Raw genomic sequence first — 21,028 nt, forward strand, 5'->3', positions numbered from 1 at the left:
CTTCACTGTCCTTCTTACCAAGGTCATCAGTTACCTCATTAGTGCTTTTAGAAGTTCATTTCTGGCAAGGTGCAGTGGCTCATGCCTGTACCATCCCAACACTTTGGGAGGCCAAAGTGGGAAGATGGCTTGAGACGAACCTGGACAACAGAGCCAGACCCCGTCTCTACAAAAAAAAAAGTTCATTTTCAAGCTTTCTTACTTGATCTTACAGCATTTGCATCTTGAACACTGCTAGTTACTGAATTTGTTTCATTCCCTGGCTTCAAAGACACTATTCTCTCTTGGTGTCACTCCTCTCTCTCTCAGCTTTGTCTCATTCTCTGGTTCTCTGCCTGCACATCCCATGATTTCATCTCATAGTATGTATACTCTCCCTGGGTGATGTCATCTGCTTCCCTGGCTTTGACACTGTCTGCATGTGGATGCTTCAGACTGTCTCCAGCCCAGGTTTCTCTTCTAAAGTCAACATGTATTTCCAGCTACTTGAACATATCATCTATCACTTGCTCCAGTTAATTCTATCTCAGTCGCCCAGGTTAGCAACCTTGATGTAATTCCCTATTGCGCCCCTGCCCACACCACACTTGATTCCACTTCTGTCTTTTCTCCAGAAGCTGGCCTTTGTTTACCTCTGCTTCTCCTGTGTTCACTGAACACACACACTCTGTAACATGCTTATACCATGATGCACGTTTACTAACTGCTGGGTTACTTCTGGCTTACTTTTTTTTTTTTTTTTAATTTTTTCTTTTGCATGCTTCTCTATTCTGGGCTGGCCTACATTTTTGAAGTGGATTACCTAAATGTACAGAGTGGTTAAGCCGTGGTCAGTAAGATTATGTTTGCTTTTGGCATTTTTGAACCATTGAGCTAACCTCAAGTTTTCTCTTAATTGAGCTTATAATTCAGTGCCTGAGCCCCAAGACCCCAGAAGGTTTGAATGGAGTATTTCTCTTTAGCCTGTGGCTGAGTGATCACTCTAAATCTAAAACATAAAAGCAGGGCAAAGACTTTTATCATTTTTAAATTCCTCACACTTTCTAGTACAATTCTACACTTAATTATGGACCCACTATTTATGAAATTGAGTTGATAGGTTTGGGAATCATTGTTGAATAGACCACATCATCTTCTAAAGTAGAGGAACATATAATGAGTCTGAAGGCATTCTCTGGGCAAGTAGGACTAATGTCTTACACTTAAGAACTTAAGAACTTCCTAGCCTGGTGTGGTGGCTCACACCTGTGATCCCTGCACTTCGGAGGCCGAAGTGGGAGACTCACTTGAGCCGAGGAGTTTGAGCTGACATGGTGAAAACCCATCTCTACAAAAAATACAAAAAGTAGCCAGGTGTGTTGGCATGCGCCTGTAGTCCCAGCTACTCAAAGGCTGAGGTGGGAGGATCACTTGGGCGGGAGAGGTTGAGGCTGCAGAGAGCAGTGATCGCGCCACTGCACTCCTGCCTGGGTGACAGAGTGAGACCCTTTCTCAAAAAAAAAAAAAAAAAAAAAAAAAAGCCAGGCATGATGGCACGCACCTGTATTCCCAGCTACTCTGGAGGCTGAGGCAGGAGAACCGCTTGAACCTGGGAGATGGAGGTTACATTGAGCGGAGATTATGCCATTGCACTCCAGCCTGGGTGACTGAGTGAGACCGTCTGAAAAACAAAACAAAAACACTAGAGAAAATTCTCTCTAAATATGTTGAGTTTACTTGGGGATAAAAGAAAAATTACAATCTGTAATGCATTAATGGCAAGCATCCAGTGTGTTCTGTGTAAGGGGAACTTTTATTAGCAAAAAAAGATTTTCATAAGCTGCTTAGAAACAGAGTCCATGGGTTCCATAGGTTCAAAGCCAGAGTTGTTATCAGTTCATTGACGGAGATGCTGTTACTGAGCAGGTATCCTTTGGAGAATGTCTTGTTTGAATTATTGCAGTCCTAAAGAATGTTTAATGAAAAACCTTATCAGAGCAGGAGAAGCATGAAGCGTGTGAAGCAGTTTTTAGTAAGTCCTTGGAAGCAGTTCTTACCTCCGACATGCATGCATGTGCCTCCTTCCCGGCCCTATTTTGTCTGGGTCCAACAAAAGTGACTATTCTGGTATCTTCAGCTTTCACAATCCCAGGATAAATCATATGAAGGTTTTTAGGAACACTCTACTGTTGTCTTTTGCATCTTTCTGTTTATATCGTAATCATTTTCTTATTCTGATACAGAGCGTACAAACATTTCTGTGTGCCCACTGAAGAAGCTCTGTTGACACTTTGTACCTGTCTCAGGATTTCAGTGAAGGAAGTGTCTTAGCTATGTGCATCCCTCCAGGATGAGTATTAGTTTTCTAGAGTTGCTGTAACAAAGTACCACAGATTGAGTGGCCTAAAACAACAGATTGATTGTTTCACAATTCTAGAGGCTGGAAGTCCGAAATCGAGGTGTTGCCGGGACCATACTGCGCTGTCTCTCTCTCTCTCTCAAGATTCCAGGGAAGGGCCCTTTCTTGCCCTTTTCTGGCTTCTGGGGGTTGCTAGCATCTGTGGCATTCCGTAACTCATTGCTGCAGTGCGCCAGTTCCTACCTCCACTTTCCTGAGGCCATCTTTTTGTCCATCTTCTTATAAGTACACCACCAGTCATATTGGATTTATGGCCAGTGTACACCAGTGTGACGTCATCTTAACTAATCACACCTTCAAAGACCCTGTTTCCAAACAAGGTTCCATTCTGACGTTTTGGTGGATGTGAATCTGGGGGGAACACTTCAACCCAGTACAGTCAATCCTCTAGCCCCATAAAATTCACATTCATCCCACATGCAAAATACACTCGCCTTATCCCAACATCCTCAAAAATCCTGTTTCAGCATTAACTATAAATCCAAAATCTCTAAGTATAGTCAACTCAAAACATTGCGAATCTCATTATCTAAATCATGCAAACCAGGTATCACTGAGACTCTAGGTATGATATGATACATTCTAGGGCAAAATTCCTCTCCTAACTGTGGACATGTGAAACTAGGAAACAAGTTATCTGCTTCCAAAATACAACAGTGGGTGCAATGGTTTGAATGTGTCCCCTCCAAAATTCATGTTGAAACTTGTTGTGGTATTAGGAGGTGGGCCCCTTAGGAAATGAGGCCACGAGGGCTCTGCCCTCATGGATGGATTGGTGCCTTACAAAAGGGCTGGAAGGAACCGCTTAGGTGCCCTTTTGCCCATCTGCTCTTCTGCTACATGAGGATGTAGCAAGAAGGCCCTCACCAGACATGTAATGCTGGCACCTTGATCATGGACTTCCAAGCCTCCAGAACTGTGAGTAGTAAATTTCTATTACTTATAAATTACCCAGTAATAATCAGATGTCTGTTACAGCAGCACAAAGGGACTGCGATGAGGCAAGCACAGGACAGACATTTCCATTATGAAAGAATTTGCAAGGAATTAAAGGGGTCACTGTCTCACACAGGTTTTAACACAAAAGGGAAAACTACATTCATTTTCAAGGCCTTAATGACCCTTTGACTCGATCCAGCCTCTGGGCCCAGGGGGTGCAGTTGGCCTGGGCCTCTGGACCTATAGCTTCGTCCTCTCTGGCCTCTGTATCCATGGCTCTGCCCTGGGAGTCAGTCATTTTCCCTTCAATTTGTTCTGTCTCTGTCCCTTTCTATCCAGGCTGGGAGTATTTCTGCTGGTATAAAATTCTCAAAAATCTTGTCAGTTTTCTGTTGATGTCACGGGGATGCACACCATTAGAACTCTCAAGTTCTCCACGGATCTTTCCTGGATAACCCCAACTCTATTCCTGGCTTCGCTGACACGGTTGAGTGGATCCATGAGTCACACAACTCTCTTTAGCAAATTATTGTCCAGACACACTCTTCAGGCCAGAACTTCTCCTCCTTGGCAGTATAGTTAGGCTGAGAATTTTCCAAATCATCAAGTCCTGGTTCCTTTTTGCTTAACAATTCTGAGGCAGGAGAATAGGGAATTCAGGCCATCAAGGGTTAAGGCAGAAACAAAAGAACAGCAGGTGCAGCCAGGTCTAGGCAAAACTGGGCAGCACACAGGCCACATCCTTGCTCCTGTGATAATGAGACAGAAGTTTCCACATCAGCCTCTGATTGTGTGCCAAGCCTCCACGTCAGCCTCTGGTCACAGGCCAATCCTTCATGGGCTGTGGCCAATTGGAGTCCTCTAAAGGGCACTGAGGGGAGTTGCTTGGTTCCTTTAGCTTAATAAAAACCCCAGTTGAAGAGGCTCTTGAACCACTTGCTCAAGCCTGCTCCCACCCTGTGAATTGTACTTCGGCTTCTTCAATAAATCTGTGCCTTCATTAGCCCGTTCTTTTGTTGCTTTGTTAGTGCGTTTTGTTCAATTTTTTGTTCAATACACCAAGAACTTGGACAACTCACAGTTAAGACATTCCATCCAGTAACAATTCCTACCTCAATTTACCTCCTTCCACTTGCATTTTAATGTAAGCAGGCTGTTTTCCAACTCCTGGCTTCAAGTCATCCTCCTGCCTTGGCCTCCCAAAGTGCTGGGATTACAGGTATGAGCCACCATGCCTGGCCCCGGCTAATTTTTAAATTTTTTTCATAGAGATGGGGGTCTCACTGTGTTGCCCAAGCTGGTATCAAACCCTTGGCCTCAAGTCATCCTCCTGCCTTGGCCTCCTAAAGTGCTGGGATTACAGGCCTGAGCCACCACACCTGGCCCCTAAGAGATATATTAGAGTCTTAACTCGAAGTACCTATGAATGTGACTATTTGGAAATAGAGAACTTGCAGGTGTAATCAAATTAAGATGAGGTCATAATTGGATTTGGATGGGCCCTAAATCCAATGACCAGTGTCCTTATAGCAAGAGTGGAGAAAAAGCCACACACAGGGGAGAAGACAGGGGTTGGACTGATGCCTCTACAAAGCCAGGAATACCAAGGATTTCCAACAACCACCACGATCTTGGAGAGAGGCATGGAACAGACTCTCCGTTAGAACCCACAGAAAGAACCAATCCTGCCAACACCTGGATCTTGGACTCCAGCCTCCAGAACTGTAAGAAAATACATTTCTTTTGTTTTAAGCCACCCAGTTGGTGGTAATTTGCTGCTGCAATCTTAGGAAACAAATACAGATTTTGGTACTGAAAAGTGGGGTGCTGCCATATTAATATACACAAACATGGAAGTGCCTTTATTAATAGATTGGGGTGATGGGCAGAGGAAGAAGTTTGAGGCACATGATAGACTAAGCCTAGATTGCCTTGAAGAGAAAGTGGGTGGAAATGTGAGTGCCCCATCTCTACAAAAAATAAAAATTAGGTGGGCATGGTGACACACGTGTAGTCTTAGCTACTTGGAAGGCTGAGGCAGGAGGATTACTTGAGCTTAGGAGGCTGCAGTGAGTTATGATCGCACCACTGCACTCCAGCCTGGGTGACAGAGCAAGGCTCTGTCTCTCTCTTTTTTTTTTTTTTTGGAGACAGAGTTTTGCTCTGTCGCCCAGGCTGGAGTACAGTGGCACGATCTCGACTCACTGCAACCTCCACCTCCTGGGTTCAAGCGATTCTCTTGCCTCAGCCTCCTGAGTAGCTGGGCTTACAGAAGCCCATCACCACACCCAGCTAATTTTTTGTATTTTTACTAGAGACAGGGTTTCACCATGTTAGCCGGGCTGGTCTGGAACTCCTGACCTCAGGTGATCTGCCCTCCTTGGCCTCCCAAAGTGCTAGAATTACAGGCATGAGCCACCACACCTGGCCAGAGACCCTGTCCCTTAAACAAACATATCTTTTGGAAGGACACTGTTTAACGTAGTACAACGAGTTATTCCAGTAGTCTAAGTTTGACAGAAGTTGTTCGTTGTAGAAGAACTTACTTGGAAATGAATATCAAACATCTTTGTATTATAAATATAATACCCACAAGTTTTTCTTAAATGTTTTTAATTTTCCACTAGTTTCCTGCTGTGAAAATATTGCTCTAATATTCCTAAAACTAACTTCTACTTCTAGAAAGCCACTCTGGGTCTCATGGACATTTCAGAGGGCTTTATTTTATCAATATTTTAATAATACTTTGCAAGACCTAAGTCTCCACTTACAAGTTTGCCACTAGATGGAGGTATTGACTAGATCTCCTTGACAAATGTAATAAATCCCAGATAAACCACTTTTTGAGTAGCTCTTCATTAATACATCTGTCCAGACACTATTGCCTGCTATGACAGGAATGATAATCCAAAGCCACAAATTCAGATATGCAAAAAATGTTTTTAAATTTTTTCTTTGGCCAGGTGTGGTGGCTCACACCTGTAATCCCAGCACTTTGGGAGACTGAGGGAGGATTGCTTGGGCCCAGGAGTTGGAGACCAGCCTGGGCAACATAGTGAGAACCTGTGTCTACCAAAATACTAGTACTAATAATAATAAATTTTAAAATACAAACAAAAATAATTCTCTCTTAATTGTATTTAATTTTCATTCCAACACTCCATTTCTATTTCACAGAAGAAATGTTAATCTAGTCACTTTCTTTTTTTTTTTTGAGACGGAGTCTCGCTCTGTCACCCAGGCTGTAGTGCAGTGACACGATCTTGGCTCACTGCAAGCTCCGCTTCCTGGGTTCACGCCACTGTCCTACCTCAGCCTCCCAGGTAGCTGGGACTACAGGTGGCCCCCTCCATGCCCAGCTAATTTTTTGTATTTTTAGTAGAGACAGGGTTTCACCGTGTTAGGATGGTCTCGATCTCCTGACCTTGTGATCCGCCTGCCTTGGCCTCCTAAAGTGCTGGGATTACAGGCGTGAGCCACCGCGCCCGGCCAAGTCCTAGATTCTTAAATGAAATTATTAGCTACATTTTTGCCTGGTGCTCATATTGGTGATAAAGCTACTCTTATTTTTTTGAAGTTTAGTTTTAAAGAGCAGCTTGCCTGCTGTAGCTCCAGAAATAAATGTACTATTCTTCTCCCCTCAATGCTCCTAAATGTCTCTGAACTTCTCTAGAAGCTGTCCTGATGAACATAGTGGCACTTTTTCCTGGTAGTGCCTCTGATGGCAGAATTGTCCAATTACAGCTGACTTCTATGTTCCTAGTTAGGTTTCTCCTAGGGCAGGTGTCTCCTAAGACACAACTAGTGTAGTGAGTGCCTAGAAGCCTAGACCTAGCAACCAGACTGCCTAGATTCCAATTGCAACTGTGTCACTAACTACTAGCTTTGTGCCCTTGGACAAACTTCTGGAAAATGTGGATAATGCTACTCCCTAATTCAGTGGATTTTTGGGAGAATTAAAATTAAACTGTAAAAGAACTGGTTCATATTAAGAACTATGTACATAGCTATGTAACCAGTCTTTTTTTTTTTCTTCTTTTTTTGAGACACAGTCTCATTCTGTTGCCCAGGCTGGAGTGCAGTGGTGTGATCTCAGTTCACTGCAACCTCCACCTCCCAGGTTTAAGCAATTCTCCTGCCTCAGCCTCCTGAGTAGCTGGGATCACAGGTGCCCACTACCATGCCCAGCTAATTTTTGTATTTTTAGTAGAGATGGGGTTTTGCTATGTTGGCCAGGCTGCTTTTAACTCCTGACTTCAAATGATCCACTCACCTGGGCCTCCCAAAGTGCTGTGATTACAGGCGTGAGCGACCACGCCCAGCCTAACCAGTCATCTTTTACTGTGTGATACCCTAGTCATCAGCTTTGGCCTCTCACAACTGGTAATCTCTATGAGGCCAGACCTTTAGTTTTCTGAGTCATTTCTTTAACAATTCAACTTTTTCAGTTAGAAATATCTGTTTCTCTCTCTCTCTCTCTCTCTCACACACACACACACACAAAGTTTAAACACTGACATACAATGTAATGACTTCCTTTCAATAATTCTCGAAGCAGCCCAGTATGAAAAATATTTGTCTTTGGCCTCTGGTAGAAGGGAAAGGTGTGAGTGTGACATTCCAAGGAAGGAGGTAGGCCTTGGTGAGCTGTTGAATAGAGAGGTTCTTCGGTGCAGGAATCACAGGGGACTTTAAGGGACAAACCTGGAGTGATGGGGAAATTAAAGACAGGGTGCTATATTAAAAAATTACCCTGGCCGCGTGCAGTGGCTCACGCCTGTAATCCCAGTACTTTGGGAGGCCTAGTGGGGGCGGATTGCGTGAGCTCAGGAGTTTGAGACCAGCCTCTGGGCAACATGGTGAAAACCCGTCTCTACTAAAATACAAAAGATTAGCCAGGCTTGGCAGCGTGCGCCTGTAATCCCAGCTACTCGTGAGGCTGAGGCGAACTCAGGAGGCAGAGGTTGCAGTGAGTCAAGATCGCGCCTGGGTGACAAGTGCGAGACTGTCTCAAAAAAAAAAATTACCCCCAAACAGACCTATTTAGGTGGCTTATGCCTATAATATCTGTGCTTTGGGAGGCCAAGGCCAGAAGATCTCTTAAGGCCAGGAGTTTGAGACCAGCCTGGGCAACATAGCAAGACCCCTTCTCTATATAAAATAAAAATTAAAAAAATTAGCATGGTGGAGCATGCCTGTAGTCCTAGCTACGTAGCTACTTGGGAAGCAGAGACAGGAGGATCCCCTAGCTACTTGGGAGGCAGAGACAGGAGGATCCCCTGAGACCAGGAGTTTGAGGCTGCAGTGAGATATGATTGCACCACTGTACTCCAGACTGGGTGACAAGAGCGAGACCCTATCTTAAAAAAAAAAAATACTCCAAAACATAATGGCCTAAAATAACAACCATTTGTTTTCTCTCGTTTCTGTGGACCATGAATTCAGACAGCATGGTGGGTATGGCTTGTCTCTGCTCCATGATGTCTGGGGTCTCAGCTGGAGTGGTTGAAGGTTGGGGACTGGAATCACCTGAGGCCTTTTTACCCATATTTGTATCTGGACTGAGCCTGGAATTTGATTGCTTCAAAATATTTTCACGGCTGGGTGTGATGGCTCACGCCTGTAATCCCAGCACTTTGAGAGGCTGAGTCTGGCCGTCTGCTTGAGCCCAGGAGTCAGCAACCAGCCTAGGCAACATAGGGAGACCTAGTCTCTACAAAAAAAAAAAAATACAACAATTTGCTGGGCGTGGTCGCCTGCGCCTGTAATCCCAGCACTTTGGGAGGCCGAGGAGGGAGGCTCACTTGAGTCCAGGAGTTCAAGACCAGTCTGGCCAACATGGTGAAACCCCGTCTCCACAAAAAATACAAAAATTATCTGGTTGTGGAGGCTTTCGCCTGTAGTCTCAGCTACTGGGATGGCTGGGGAGGGAGGATCGCTTGAGCCCTGATGGTCGAGATTACAGTGAGCTGTGGTCACGTCACTGCACTCCAGCTTGGGTGACAGAGTGAGACCTTGTCTCAAAAAAAAAAAAAAAAATCCTAAAATATTTTCATGAGTTTGTGCTGGGTAGGCCTAAGGGAAACATGCTCAGTAAATCGAAAAATCTCGGATTACACATAAACCACCGGCCCCGGCAGGTTAGACTTGGTGGACACGGGAGCCAGCAGCGTGTCAGGTGCTCGTTGACCCCAGCGCCAGTGTCTCCATCCACGTCCTTCACTCGTCAACCTTTCCTGGCCCAGGCTGCGGTGTCCCAGCGCCAGGCTCCGCCCCGCCCTTGGCTGCCGGCCAATCGCCGCCGACTGAGAGGCGACTATTGGAGGAAGCGGGATGGGCGGTGCCCGCGCCGGGCCGCTAGGGGTGCGGGGTTGGGGAGGAGGCCGCTAGTCTACGCCTGTGGAGCCGATACTCAGCCCTCTGCGACCATGGCTGTGCTGGCGGCACTTCTGCGCAGCGGCGCCCGCAGCCGCAGCCCCCTGCTCCGGAGGCTGGTGCAGGTGAGCGGGGTTCGTCCCCACAGCACTCAGACCCGGGATGCGAGGAGTCCCCGCCTCGGAAGCTTCCAGCCCGCGGCCGTTGCGGCTCCCGCGGCCCGGGCGCGCGGCTTAGGCCCCAGGACAGTCACGCGACGGGTTCTGGTCCAAAAACCGCCTAAGTGCTCCGATAACACCCAGGGACTCGCCTATTTTTACAGCGCGTTTCTACTTCCAAGGTCTCGGCGTAATCATCTTAATGAGCGTTACTGGTGTGTCAAACAAGGGCACGTGTCTGGGCGGGCAGGACCGCCAGGATTGGCGCTGGCCCGGCCTGAGCGGTGGGATCGGGGAGAGTCTCTTTGCAGGCCTGTGCAGCTGCTCCCGAGATTTTCTTTAAAACATATTTGTGTGCGTTATTGTCAGGAGAGGTTCCTTTTCTTTTTTAATACAATAGATAATCATTGGGCATACAAGGGGAGAGGGCACCATGTGATCATAACAGATGTTTTTTGGAGCAGCCTGAAATTTATCAGGGAAAACAAATGACTACTCAGATAATACAATAAATTATACTTGACATATGAGCAAAGCTCACATACTGAGGGCGTTCCAAGGGCTGTCGCTCTTCTGACCGTTGTGTTTAGGGAACACAGCAGGGGCAGAGTCTCAAAGAATTTATTCTCCACATGCGTAAGCAAGGGAGTACGCACCACAGATTGTCAGGCAAAGCCTCAGGAATAGGTAGAGACCTTCAGGGTGTGGTTGGTGAAGCTTGAGTTTTCTAGGTCGATGGGGGCAATAAGCTTGGAGATCCAGTTATGTTGTGAGTATGGACTTGACCCTAGTTAAGTAGGGATTGTTGATATGTTTGTTTTTGTTGCAATGGTAGGTCACTCTAGTTCTTACGTCTGGGCGTAGAATAACATTACTTGCACAAGGGTGCTGGCGGTAGGAGCTTTGCAAGAGATTGTAAAAGAACCAGTCTAGGACTTGACAATTAGGGAGTGAGGGTGCGAAGCCAAGGGAAAAGAAAGAGTCTAAAATTGATCCTGGGTGACTGAGATAATAGAAAAGTCACAAGGCGTAGGTTTCCAGGGAAGATGAGTTTTTAGCCTATTTGTTAGTCTCATGGGATGAGTGAAGAAATCACAAGAAAGTAATTAGGTTATCTTGGGTTTCAGTCAGTATTGACTAGGTGACATAGGTGAACTAGGTACTCTAGAGATGTAAAAAAAAAAAGTTCAGAACCTTCTTAATTTATGGTTTAATTAAGATCTTACAATCAGGTTGGTTGAGGTGGCTTATGCCAGTAATCCCAGCACTTTGGGAGGCCGGGGTGGGTAGATCATTTGAGGTCAAGAGTTCAAGACCAGCCTGGCCAACGTGGTGAAGCCCCACCTCTATTAAAAATACACACACACACAAAAATTAGCTGGGTGTGGTGGCAGGCGCCTGTAATCCCAGCTACTTGGGAGGCTGAGGCAGGAGAATCGCTTGAACCCGGGAGGAGGGGAAGGTTGCAGTGAGCTGAGATCATGCCACTGCACTCCAGCCTGGGCAACAGAGTGAGACTCCGTCTTAAAAAAAAAGATCTTAAAATGAAACACAAATACTCCTCATGAAAAAAATAAGCCTGTACATGCTGTAATGTATGATATGTGACATTCATATTACTGAACTCTAGGAAGCAGTTGTATTGGACACTTGAATTAAATGGTCATTTACTGAACTATAAACAGGATTTCCAGTTTTCTGTGCTATTTTGTAGAATGGAATTTGACCTCTCATTACATTGGCTCTTTTCCCTTTGCTTACCAGGTCTCTTTTATGGTCAACAAATCTTTATGGACTTTATTGGAGCACATTGCCTTTCTAGCTCTAATCACTTTTCTCTCTCTGGTCAAAGGAGTGGTCTTTACTCATTACCTCCCATGTATTCTGCATCTATTTCTCCTTAACTCTCTGCAGTTAAATTTCTTTGCCACTGAAGCTGAAAAATACAGTGATTTCCTTTTTCTTTGTTTTTTAATTATTTTTTTAAATCTATTTTAATTTTAGTTTTTGTAGACACGGGGTCTGGTTCTGTTGGCCAGGCTGGTCTTGAACTCCTGGCCTGCCAAAGTGCTGGGATTACAGGTGTGAGCCATTGTGCTCAGCCCAAGTTTTTTCTTCTTGACCTTTATCCTATATTTGACACTATTGACCACTCCCTTCTTGAAACTGTTTTGTGTTTTGATCCAGTTTTATTCAGCTTCTTTTAATACTCAGACTTAAAAAAAAATTCCTGTATTGTGCCAGTCTTGGGCTTATTTGCTCCCAGATTCATTTATCTTCCCTCCCCTAGTCTGTCTGCATTACTGTAGGCTGACCAATATCAGCTGGCTTCTGGCTGGGTGTAGCCACTGGAAGGCACCAGTGGAAGATTGGAAGATAGGAGGAAGGGAGAAGCCAGAATAATTTGTCTGTCTGTCTGTATCTGGCAGTGTCTGTCTCTCTTGTGGTTCCCGCTTCTGCTGGGATCCTGACCCCTTGGCTTTGGTAACCTTGCTTCTTCCCTTTGACCTAACAGCCTGTATGCTACTTCCTTCCTGTTGCTAATTTCTTTCTTTCTTTTTTATTTTTTGAGATCAAGTTTCGCTCTTGTTGCCCAGGCTGGAGTGCAGTGGCACGATCTTGGCTTACTGCAACCTTGGCCTCCCGGGTTCAAGCAGTTCTCCTGCCTCAGCCTCCTGAGTAGCTGGGATTACAGGCATGTGCCACCACACCCGCTACTTTTTGTATTTTTAGTAGGGACGGGCTTTCACCATGTTGGTCAGGATGGGCTCGAACTCCTGACCAGCTCACCAGGTGATCCACCTCTGATGATCTGCCCACCACAGCCTCCTAAAGTGATTACAGGTGTGAGCCACCACACCTGGCCCCCTTCCCTTTTTCTAATCTTACCCTAGTACACTCAGTTCCCCCGCAGCCAGAGTGGTCTTTTTATAACATAAAAGCTTTCAGTGGCTTGTCATTGCCCATAGGCCAGAATCTAGACCCTTATGATCTGCTGGGCCCTACTTAGTTCTGTGGCCTCAGCTGCTGCCGTGCTCACTCTGCTTTTGCCACAGGACCCTTCTTTCTATACTTAGTATGTGTGCCAATTTTGTTCCGAATTCGTGGCCTTAGTCCTACGTGTTCCTGATGCCTCAAATGTTCTTTTCCTGGATCTTTCCAAGGATGACTCTTTAACATTCATTTCTCAGCTCCATTAACATTGCTAGAAGGCCTTTTTTGACTCTCCCATGTAAAGTAGGCCGTCAGTTACTCTCTAGTTCATGATCAATTTTGCTGGTTTCATAACATTTACTGTAGCTGAAATTTTGTTTCTCTGAGTTATTGGTAACTTTCAGACTGTCTTCAAATATTTGTTTTGTGTCTGCTGCCATCACTGGGATAGAAAATAAATAAAATCAGTCTCTTCTTGGAATTCACAGTCTAGTGAGGAGAAAAGCCACCTGAGGGTTACAAAATTATATATTCTGGAACAATTAGAATGTGCACGGGCGTTGTGGAAGCTGAGATAGGAGTGCTGACCTCTGCCTGGCATGGCTGAGCCCTCCCTGAAAGATAATTGTGTTATGTAGATAAAACTTAATGGGTTGTGTTCATTCAGCATGTATTATTATACACTATATGGTTCAGTGTCCTGACCATACTATAATTTTGTCATTCGTTTCTGATATTGAAGGAGCGCTAGGCACTGTGCTAAGTCATAGGGATGTAACAGTGAGCAAGAGACACCATCCCGCCATCAGGAAGCCTGTATTATGTTGGAGGGGTGGATAATAAAACAAAGATGTGAACCACATACTTACAGTGTAAGAGGTGCTTTGAAGGAAATAAAGATATTCATATAAAAGAGAGGAAAAAGTAGAGGGTAACTTTAAATAGAGTAGTTAGGGTGGACCACTCTGGGAATGTGTCATTAGAAAAGACATGAAGAATAGGCTGGGTGTGGTGGCTCACGCCTGTAATCCCAGCACTTTGGGAGGCTGAGGCGGGCAGATCACCAGGTCAGGAGATCGAGACTATCCTGGCTAACAAGGTGAAACCCTGTCTCTATAAAAATGCAGAAAATTAGCCAGGCGTGGTGGCGGGCGCTTGTAGTCCCAGCTACCTGGAAGGCTGAGGCAGGAGAATGGCGTGAACCTGGGAGGCGGAGCTTGCAGTGAGCCGAGATCGCGCCACTGCACTCCAGTCTGGGTGACAAAGTGAGACTCCGTCTAAAAAAAAAAAAAAAGAAAAGACATGAAGAATAAAAATGAGCCAGCCATGGAGAGCTGGGAAGACTTTTTGTTTTGTTTTGTTTTTGATTTTTTTGGAGACAGGATCACACTCTGTTGCACAGGCTAGAGGGCAGCGGCGCGATCTCGGCTCACTGAAACTTCTGCCTCCTGGATTCAAGCGATTCTCCCACCTCAACCTCCCAAGTAGCTGGGACTACAGGTGCCCACCCCCACACCTGGCTAATTTTTGTATTTTTAGTAGACACGGGGTTTCACCATGTTGGCCAGGCTGGTCTCAAACTTCTAATCTCAAGTGATCCACCTGCCTCGGCCTCCCAAAGGGCTGGGATTATAGGCATGAGCCACTAGGCCCGGCCTGAGGAGACTATTACTGGCAGAGGCACACTGCAGAGACCTTGAGGTATCGGGATAGGGTTTAGAACAAAGAGATGCCAGTGGCTGGCACAGAGCAAGAGTGATGTAAATTTGGAGAGAAAACCTAGAGCCAGATCATGCAGGTTCTTGGAGGATGAGGTAAAGAATTTGTATATAATTCCAAGAGCAATGAAAAGCTGTTAAATTATTTTAAGCAGTAGAGTGATATGATCTGATTTACATTTTTCAAAGCTGGAGGGACTGTAGAGAGGTGTCAGGGGAGGCAGGGAACTAGGTAGAAGGCCATTAATAGGAACAAGAGATGGTGGCTTGGACTAGGTGGCAGCAGTAGACATGAGGCAGAGTGGACGAATTTAGTTATGTTTTGGACGCTGTTCACAGTATCTGGATTTTAGGGATTGCAATAAAGGGAAGGATGAAGGATGATTTTGGCTTGAGCACCTGAGAATACCGGCAACAAACAGGTTTTCTTTTTTTTTTTTTTTTTTTTGAGATGGAGTCTTCTCTGTCACCCAGGCTGGAGTGCAATGGCGCAATCTCAGCTCACTGCAACCTCCACCTCCCGGGTTTAAGCAGTTCTCTTGCCTTAGCCTCTGGAGTAGCTGGGATTACAGGCGCGTGCCACCATGCCCTGTTATTTTTTTATTTTATTTTATTTTTATTTTTTTGTATTTTTGGTAGAGACGGGGTTTCAGCATGTTGGCCAGGCTGGTCTGGAACTCCTGACCTCGTGATCCGCCCCCCTCGGCCTCCCAAACTGCTGGGATTACAGGGGTGAGCCACTGCACCTGGCCACAAACAGGTTTTCTAGGGTTGGAAATTGAGAGCTATGATTTGGACATTCACCTGCAGCTGTCAGGTTGGCGCTTGGGTGTGAGTCTGGTGGTCAGTTGAAAGGTCAGGGTTGGAGATAGAAATTTGGAAAATCATCAGCACATAGAAGCCTTTTTTTTTTTTTTTTGAGACAGAGTCTCACTCTGTCACCCAGGCTGGAGTGCAGTGGCGTGATCTTGGCTTACTGCAAGCTCCACTTCCCGGGTTCACACCATTCTCCCACCTCAGCCTCCCAAATAGCTAGGGCTACAGGTGCCCGCCACCACGCCTGGCTAATTTTGTTTTTGTATTTTTAGTAGATATGGGGTTTCACCGTGTTAGCCAGGATGGTCTCTATCTCCCGACCTCGTGATCTGCCTGCCTTGGCCTCCCAAAGTGCTGGGATTACAGGCGTGAGCCACTGTGCCCGGCCTCATAAATGCTTTTTAAAGCCATGGGACTGGATATAACTAAGGATATAGTGAAGTTAAATTAAAAGAGGCCTGGAACAAAGCCCTGGGACATTCAGCACTTGGAGGTTGGAAGGGGAAGATGAGATAGTAAAGGAGACTGAGGTAAATATGACTAATGAGGTAGGAAGGAGTCCACGTTTGTAATGGAAGCCAAGACAAGGAAGGGTTTCTGCAGTGGATTATACATATTACCTCATTTTATTCTCATAACAGCCTGTGGAGGGTATTTAAGAAAACCAAGGTAAGTGTGTCTAAGTAACTTGCTCAAAAATACTCAGCTTGCAGGGCACAGTGGCTCACGCCTGTAATCCCAGCACTTTGGAAGGCCAACGCAGGAGGATCGCTTGAGCCCAGGAGTTTGAGACCAGCTTGGTAAGATAGTGAGACTCTGTCTCTACAAAACAAACAAACAAAGAATACTGAGCTGGTAAGCCCAGGCTCTTAACTGCTCAGCATATTTCTCAAAGAAAGGTGAGCCCAGTCTTGCTGATGTGTTAAAAGGTTAAGTGAGACAATTATAGCGAGTTGGATTTTGCTACACAGACATTGCTGATGTTGCTCAGAACCAACAGTGGTAAACTGGCAGAAATAAAATCCTGATCTGAGTGGGTTGAACTGTAAAGAGGAGGTGAGGACAAGCAAATAGACACTGTAGGTAACCTGGAGAACCTTTCTTGCCAAAGAGAACTAAAGTAAGGTGAGGCCATGTGCAGTGGCTCATGCCTGTAATCCCAGCACTTTGGGAGGCCGAGGCAGGCGGATCACCTGAGGTCAGGAGTTCAAAATCAGCCTGGCCAACGTGGTGAAACCCTGTCTCTACTAAAAATACAAAAATTAGCCGGGCGTGGTGGCGCATGCCTGTAGTCCCAGGTACTCGGGAGGCTGAGGCAGGAGAATTGCTTGAACCTGGGAGGCAGAGGTTGCAGTGAGCTGAGATCGCACCACTGCACTCCAGCCTTTTTTCAAAAAGAAATGAGGTGAAAGCTCGGGAATGTGGGTCAAGAGACATTTATTTGTTTTTACTTTGTTTTTTAGGTGGGGGGAATCAGATCCTGTTTGTATGCTTATGGAATTATCCAGAAGTAAAAGGGGTGAATGATGTAGAGGAGAAGGAAGGGATAACTGTGCCATCTTTGAAAAGGCAACTGGAAATGGGATCCAGAGTAAAGTGGAGAGAACCAGGGAAGATTCCATTAAACTGGACCAGAAGCTTGAAAGAAGAGAAGTGGCTTAGTAAACAAGGAACAAACTAGCTAAGTAGAAAGGGGACTTTTAAAATTTAATTTTTATTTCAATAGGCTTTTGGGAACAGGTGGTGTTGGATTATATGAATAAGTTCTTTATTGGTGGTATCTGATATTTTGGTGCACCCATCACCTGAGCAGTATACACTGTAAACCAATGTGTAGTCTTTTATTCCTCACCCCCACCCCCCGCCTTTCCCCTGAGTCCCCAAAGTCCACTGTATCATTCTTATGCCTTTGTGTCCTCATAGCGCAGCTCCCACTTATGAGTGAGAACATAAGCTGTTTGGTGTTTCCATTCCTGAGTTACTTCACTTAGAATAATAGTCTCCAATTCCATCCAGGTTGCAGTGAGTGCCATTATTTCATTCCTTGTTACGGCTGAGTAGTATTCCATGGTATATATACCACATTTGCTTTATCCACTTGTTGATTGATGGGCATTTGGGCTGGTTCCATATTTTTGCAATTGCAAATTGTGCTGCTATGAACATGCGTGTGCAAGTGTCTTTTTCGTGTAACGACTTTTTTTTTTGAGATGGAGTCTTGCTCTGTCGCCCAGGCTGGAATGCAGTGGCGTGATCTCGGCTCACTGCAACTTCTGCCTCCTGGGTTCAAGCGATTCTCCTGCTTCAGCTTCCCGAGTAGCTGGGATTACAGACGTGTGCCACCACGTCCAGCTAATTTTTGTATTTTTAGTAGAGTTGGGGTTTCACCATGTTGGCCAGGCTGGTCTTGAACTCCCGACCTCATTATCCGCCCGCCTCAGCCTCCTAAAGTGCTGGGATTAAAGGCATGAGCCACTGTGCCTGGCCTTCATATAATGACTTCTTTTCCTCTGGGTAGATACCCAGTAGTGGAATTGCTGGATCAAATGGTAGTTCTAGTTTTAGTTCTTTAAGGAGTCTTCAGAAAGGGGACTTTTTGAAGAGATACAATGGGCAAGCACTAGGACATCCAAGGATAGGAAATAAAGTGCAGCTGGCTGGGTACAGGGATGTGTGCCTGTAGTCGCAGATACTTGGGAGGCTGAGGCAGGAGGATTGCTTGAGTCCAGGAGTTCTGGTTTATTTTTTATTTTTATATATGAAAATTTTCAAACAAAATAAATTGCAACTGACCCTGCCAGAACCCAAGCTAGAAAATCACTAACCAAAGCCATCTTTTGCCTCTTGTGGTGTGCCATGGTCTATTTCTCCTGTCTCTGAGTATATATGTTGCATTCTTTTGCTTCTCAGTGTATTCATGGCTTTTCTCTTTGTTCTAACCGCTGCTTTTCTGTGGCATTGGCTGGTCAGCTCCAGCCCCTTTTGACTTTTCAGTCCCAGTCCCCACCGTCATCCAACTGACCCAGTCTCTCTGGGTCCTAGCTTGGGTGAGTCCATTCCATTCTTGATCCCATCAGCTCTGGCCAGAGGCAGGGGAGTCACCTTGTAAGTACTTAGGGTTGTCCTTTGAGAAAGACATGTGTTTGGAGAGGCAGTGACCGGCATGTTTACTACAAGTAGGAACTTTTTTTTTTGTAAGTTTTTAAATTATTATTTTTTAAATTTATTATCATTTTTTGAGACTCGCTCTGTCGCCCAGGCTGGAGTACAGTGGCGTGATCTTGGCTCACTGCAAGCTCTGCCTCCCAGGTTCAAGTGATTCTCCTGCCTCAGACTCCTGAGTAGCTGGGCTTACATGCATGGACCACCACACCCAGCTAACTTTTATATTTCTAGTAGAGACGGGGTTTGACCATGTTGGTCAGGCTGGTCTTGAACTCCTGTCCTCATGATCCACCCGCCTCGGCCTCCAAAGTGCTGGGATTACAGGCATGAGCCACTGCGCCCAGCTACTGATAGTCTAATTTCAGATCAGTAGGTCTCTGAATTGTGTCCTGCGTTGTCAGAATTAATTAATTAATCTATTTATTATGGAGTTTCACTCTTGTCTCCCAGGCTGGAGTGCAGTGGCGTGATCTTGGCTCACTGCAACCTCCGCCTCCTGGGTTCAAGCAATTCTTCTGCCTCATCCTCCTGAGTGGCTGGGATTACAGGTGCCCGCTACCACGCCTGGCTAATTTTTGTATTTTTAGTAGAGACGGGGTTTTTTCGCCAAGTTGGCCAGGCTGATCTCTAACTCCTGACCTCCAGTGATATGCCCACCGCAGCCTTCCAAAGTGTTGGGATTACAGGCGTGAGCCACTTGCCCAGCCTACTGTTGACATTTGTTCCTAAGAAGTGTGGAAAGAACTGAGAAGTAGTAGGGGCAAGATGTTTACTCTTTCCTTTTTTAAGAAATAATTTATCTGCTATTATAGGTCATATTTATATGAGATGTGTTTGCCTCATATAAATCAGACAATTGTTGGAAGTGGATAGGGAGAAACAGCAAGTTTTACTTGAAAACAATCTTAAAAAATGAAAATATCTTGTTAGATTCTAAGACTAAATAATTTAGAACCTAGCTTTAACTCAAAACTACATTTTAGAAAGCTATATTTAAGAAAGACTTGGAATTTTTTTTTTTTTTTTTTAGACAGTCTTGCTTTGTTGCCAAGGCTGGAGTGTAGTCCCAGAATCTTGGCTCACTGCAACCTCCGCCTCCTGGGTTCAAGCTATTCTCCTGCCTCAGCCTCTGAAGTAGCTGGGATTATAGGCATGTGCCACAATGCTGGGCTAACTTTTGTATTTTTAGTAGAGACTGGGTCTCACCACGTTGTCCAGGCTGGTCTTGAACTCCTGACCTCAGGTGATCCGTCCACCTTGGCCTCCCAAAATGCTAGGATTACAGGCATGAGCCACCACGCCTGGCCAAGACTTGGAAATTTTAAGATAGTAAACTTAAGAGTTAAAACGTACATTTCCAATGAATAGTTAATTAGAAAAGTTTATTATAAAGCAGTCATTTTTTTCTAATTGTTAAAAGTGATATATTCTGACCACAAAAAACTTGGAAATAAAAGCATAAGGATGCAGGAAGAAACCACTATAACCTTATCACTGAGAAATATAAAATGATATAGTTTAATATTTTTTACATTATAACATTATAAATATTTATATTACAGGAAATAAGATATGTGGAACGGAGTTATGTATCAAAACCCACTTTGAAGGTAAGTAATTTAAATTGTGCTTTAAAATTTCCAGAATTTAAAGGAAATGTCAATAAAAATGCATATACTTATGATTTGGATACATGTGAAAGTCAAAGCAGGATTATGTAACAGTTAGGAATAGCTAACTATTCAAATATTCAGTTAAAGTAGATGACTATAATAGAAAAACATGTCAGTTAGTCTCTGCCAATGTTTGTTGCTTCCTTATAGTCTGCTACAAAACAACATTCCCTCTAGAACTGGGCAGTGTTCTTCTTTTACTCACAGGGACTCGCATTGTATTGTGTGTGGTACAAGCAGAGACTGTATAGAAGATCCTAGAAGAGAGGGAGTGGACCAGTTGGGAATTAGACAAGGAGGGCCATTACAGCATCTCCTAGGACCTTCTGAAGAGTCTCTGTTTTGTAAGGGTCACTAAAGTGACTTAGTTAAGATCTTCTATCAAAATCTAAGCAACCATTCTGTTATTTATCTCTAAACTTAATAGGAGATTGTGGAAGACAAGTGTAAGGAGAGAACTGTCACAGTGCTGTTTTATAGTATTCAAGAGAGCTTTTATCTTCTTTTGCTTAAAGTTCATATTATTGTCTTACTGTTTAAGAAATTATGGCTCTGGGCCGGGTGCGGTGGCTCACACCTGTAATCCCAGCACTTTGGGAGGCCGAGGCAGGTGGATCACGAGGTCAGGAGATCGAGACCATCCTGGCTAACACGGTGAAACCCCATCTCCACTAAAAATACAAAAAATTAGGTGGGCATGGTGGCAGGCACCTGTAGTCCCAGCTACTCGGGAGGCTGAGGCAGGAGAATGGCGTGAATCCGGGAGGCGGAGCTTGCAGTGAGTTGAGATCACGTGCCTGCACTCTAGCCTGGGCAACAGAGCAAAACTCCATCTCAAAAAAAAAAAAAAAA

The 21,028-nt window shown here is 45.0% G+C and overlaps 1 protein-coding gene and 1 long non-coding RNA gene across 16 annotated transcripts in view, besides 5 other annotated features; one reads left to right on the forward strand and one right to left on the reverse strand.

The window, feature by feature from the left end:
- Positions 1,774–2,541, reverse strand: LOC124902748 (uncharacterized). The gene is made up of 2 exons (XR_007062878.1): positions 2,037–2,541; positions 1,774–1,944 (listed from the first exon to the last, which is right to left on the reverse strand). It is a non-coding gene; the product is annotated as an uncharacterized LOC124902748 (long non-coding RNA).
- ACAT1 (acetyl-CoA acetyltransferase 1) overlaps positions 4,864–21,028 on the forward strand; it is a 30,899-nt gene continuing 14,734 nt past the window's right edge. For 5 of the 15 annotated variants that reach the window (NR_170162.1, NM_001386677.1, NM_000019.4 and 2 more), the window contains exons 1-2: positions 9,726–9,837; positions 20,066–20,113. Coding sequence is in view for 3 of the 15 variants with exons in the window: in NM_001386677.1 (NP_001373606.1) it covers positions 9,766–9,837; positions 20,066–20,113 (120 nt within the window). In the remaining 12 variants the exon portion in view is untranslated. Of the gene's footprint in view, positions 5,062–9,725; positions 9,838–9,954; positions 10,086–16,044; positions 16,139–16,801; positions 17,019–17,261; positions 17,361–20,065; positions 20,114–21,028 lie in introns of those variants that run through there. The other 10 variants (NR_170163.1, NM_001386685.1, NM_001386691.1 and 7 more) reach the window with 9 other exon arrangements.
- Positions 9,388–9,926: a silencer, noted in NCBI's record as "fragment chr11:107991956-107992494 (GRCh37/hg19 assembly coordinates)". NCBI's record gives its function as "represses an EF-1alpha promoter that drives an FKBP-Casp9 reporter gene in an ReSE screen in K562 erythroleukemia cells {active_cell/tissue: K562}" and the evidence as "EXISTENCE:reporter gene assay evidence [ECO:0000049][PMID:32094911]".
- Positions 9,388–9,937: a biological region, named in NCBI's record as "ReSE screen-validated silencer GRCh37_chr11:107991956-107992494".
- Positions 9,528–9,937: a silencer, noted in NCBI's record as "silent region_3876". NCBI's record gives its function as "represses an Ori minimal core promoter by ATAC-STARR-seq in GM12878 lymphoblastoid cells {active_cell/tissue: GM12878}" and the evidence as "EXISTENCE:reporter gene assay evidence [ECO:0000049][PMID:35858748]".
- Positions 12,163–12,282: an enhancer, noted in NCBI's record as "active region_5481". NCBI's record gives its function as "activates an Ori minimal core promoter by ATAC-STARR-seq in GM12878 lymphoblastoid cells {active_cell/tissue: GM12878}" and the evidence as "EXISTENCE:reporter gene assay evidence [ECO:0000049][PMID:35858748]".
- Positions 12,343–12,402: an enhancer, noted in NCBI's record as "active region_5482". NCBI's record gives its function as "activates an Ori minimal core promoter by ATAC-STARR-seq in GM12878 lymphoblastoid cells {active_cell/tissue: GM12878}" and the evidence as "EXISTENCE:reporter gene assay evidence [ECO:0000049][PMID:35858748]".

This window comes from Homo sapiens, chromosome 11 (genome assembly GCF_000001405.40).
Source record: "Homo sapiens chromosome 11, GRCh38.p14 Primary Assembly".
NCBI classification, from domain to species: Eukaryota; Metazoa; Chordata; class Mammalia; order Primates; family Hominidae; genus Homo; species Homo sapiens.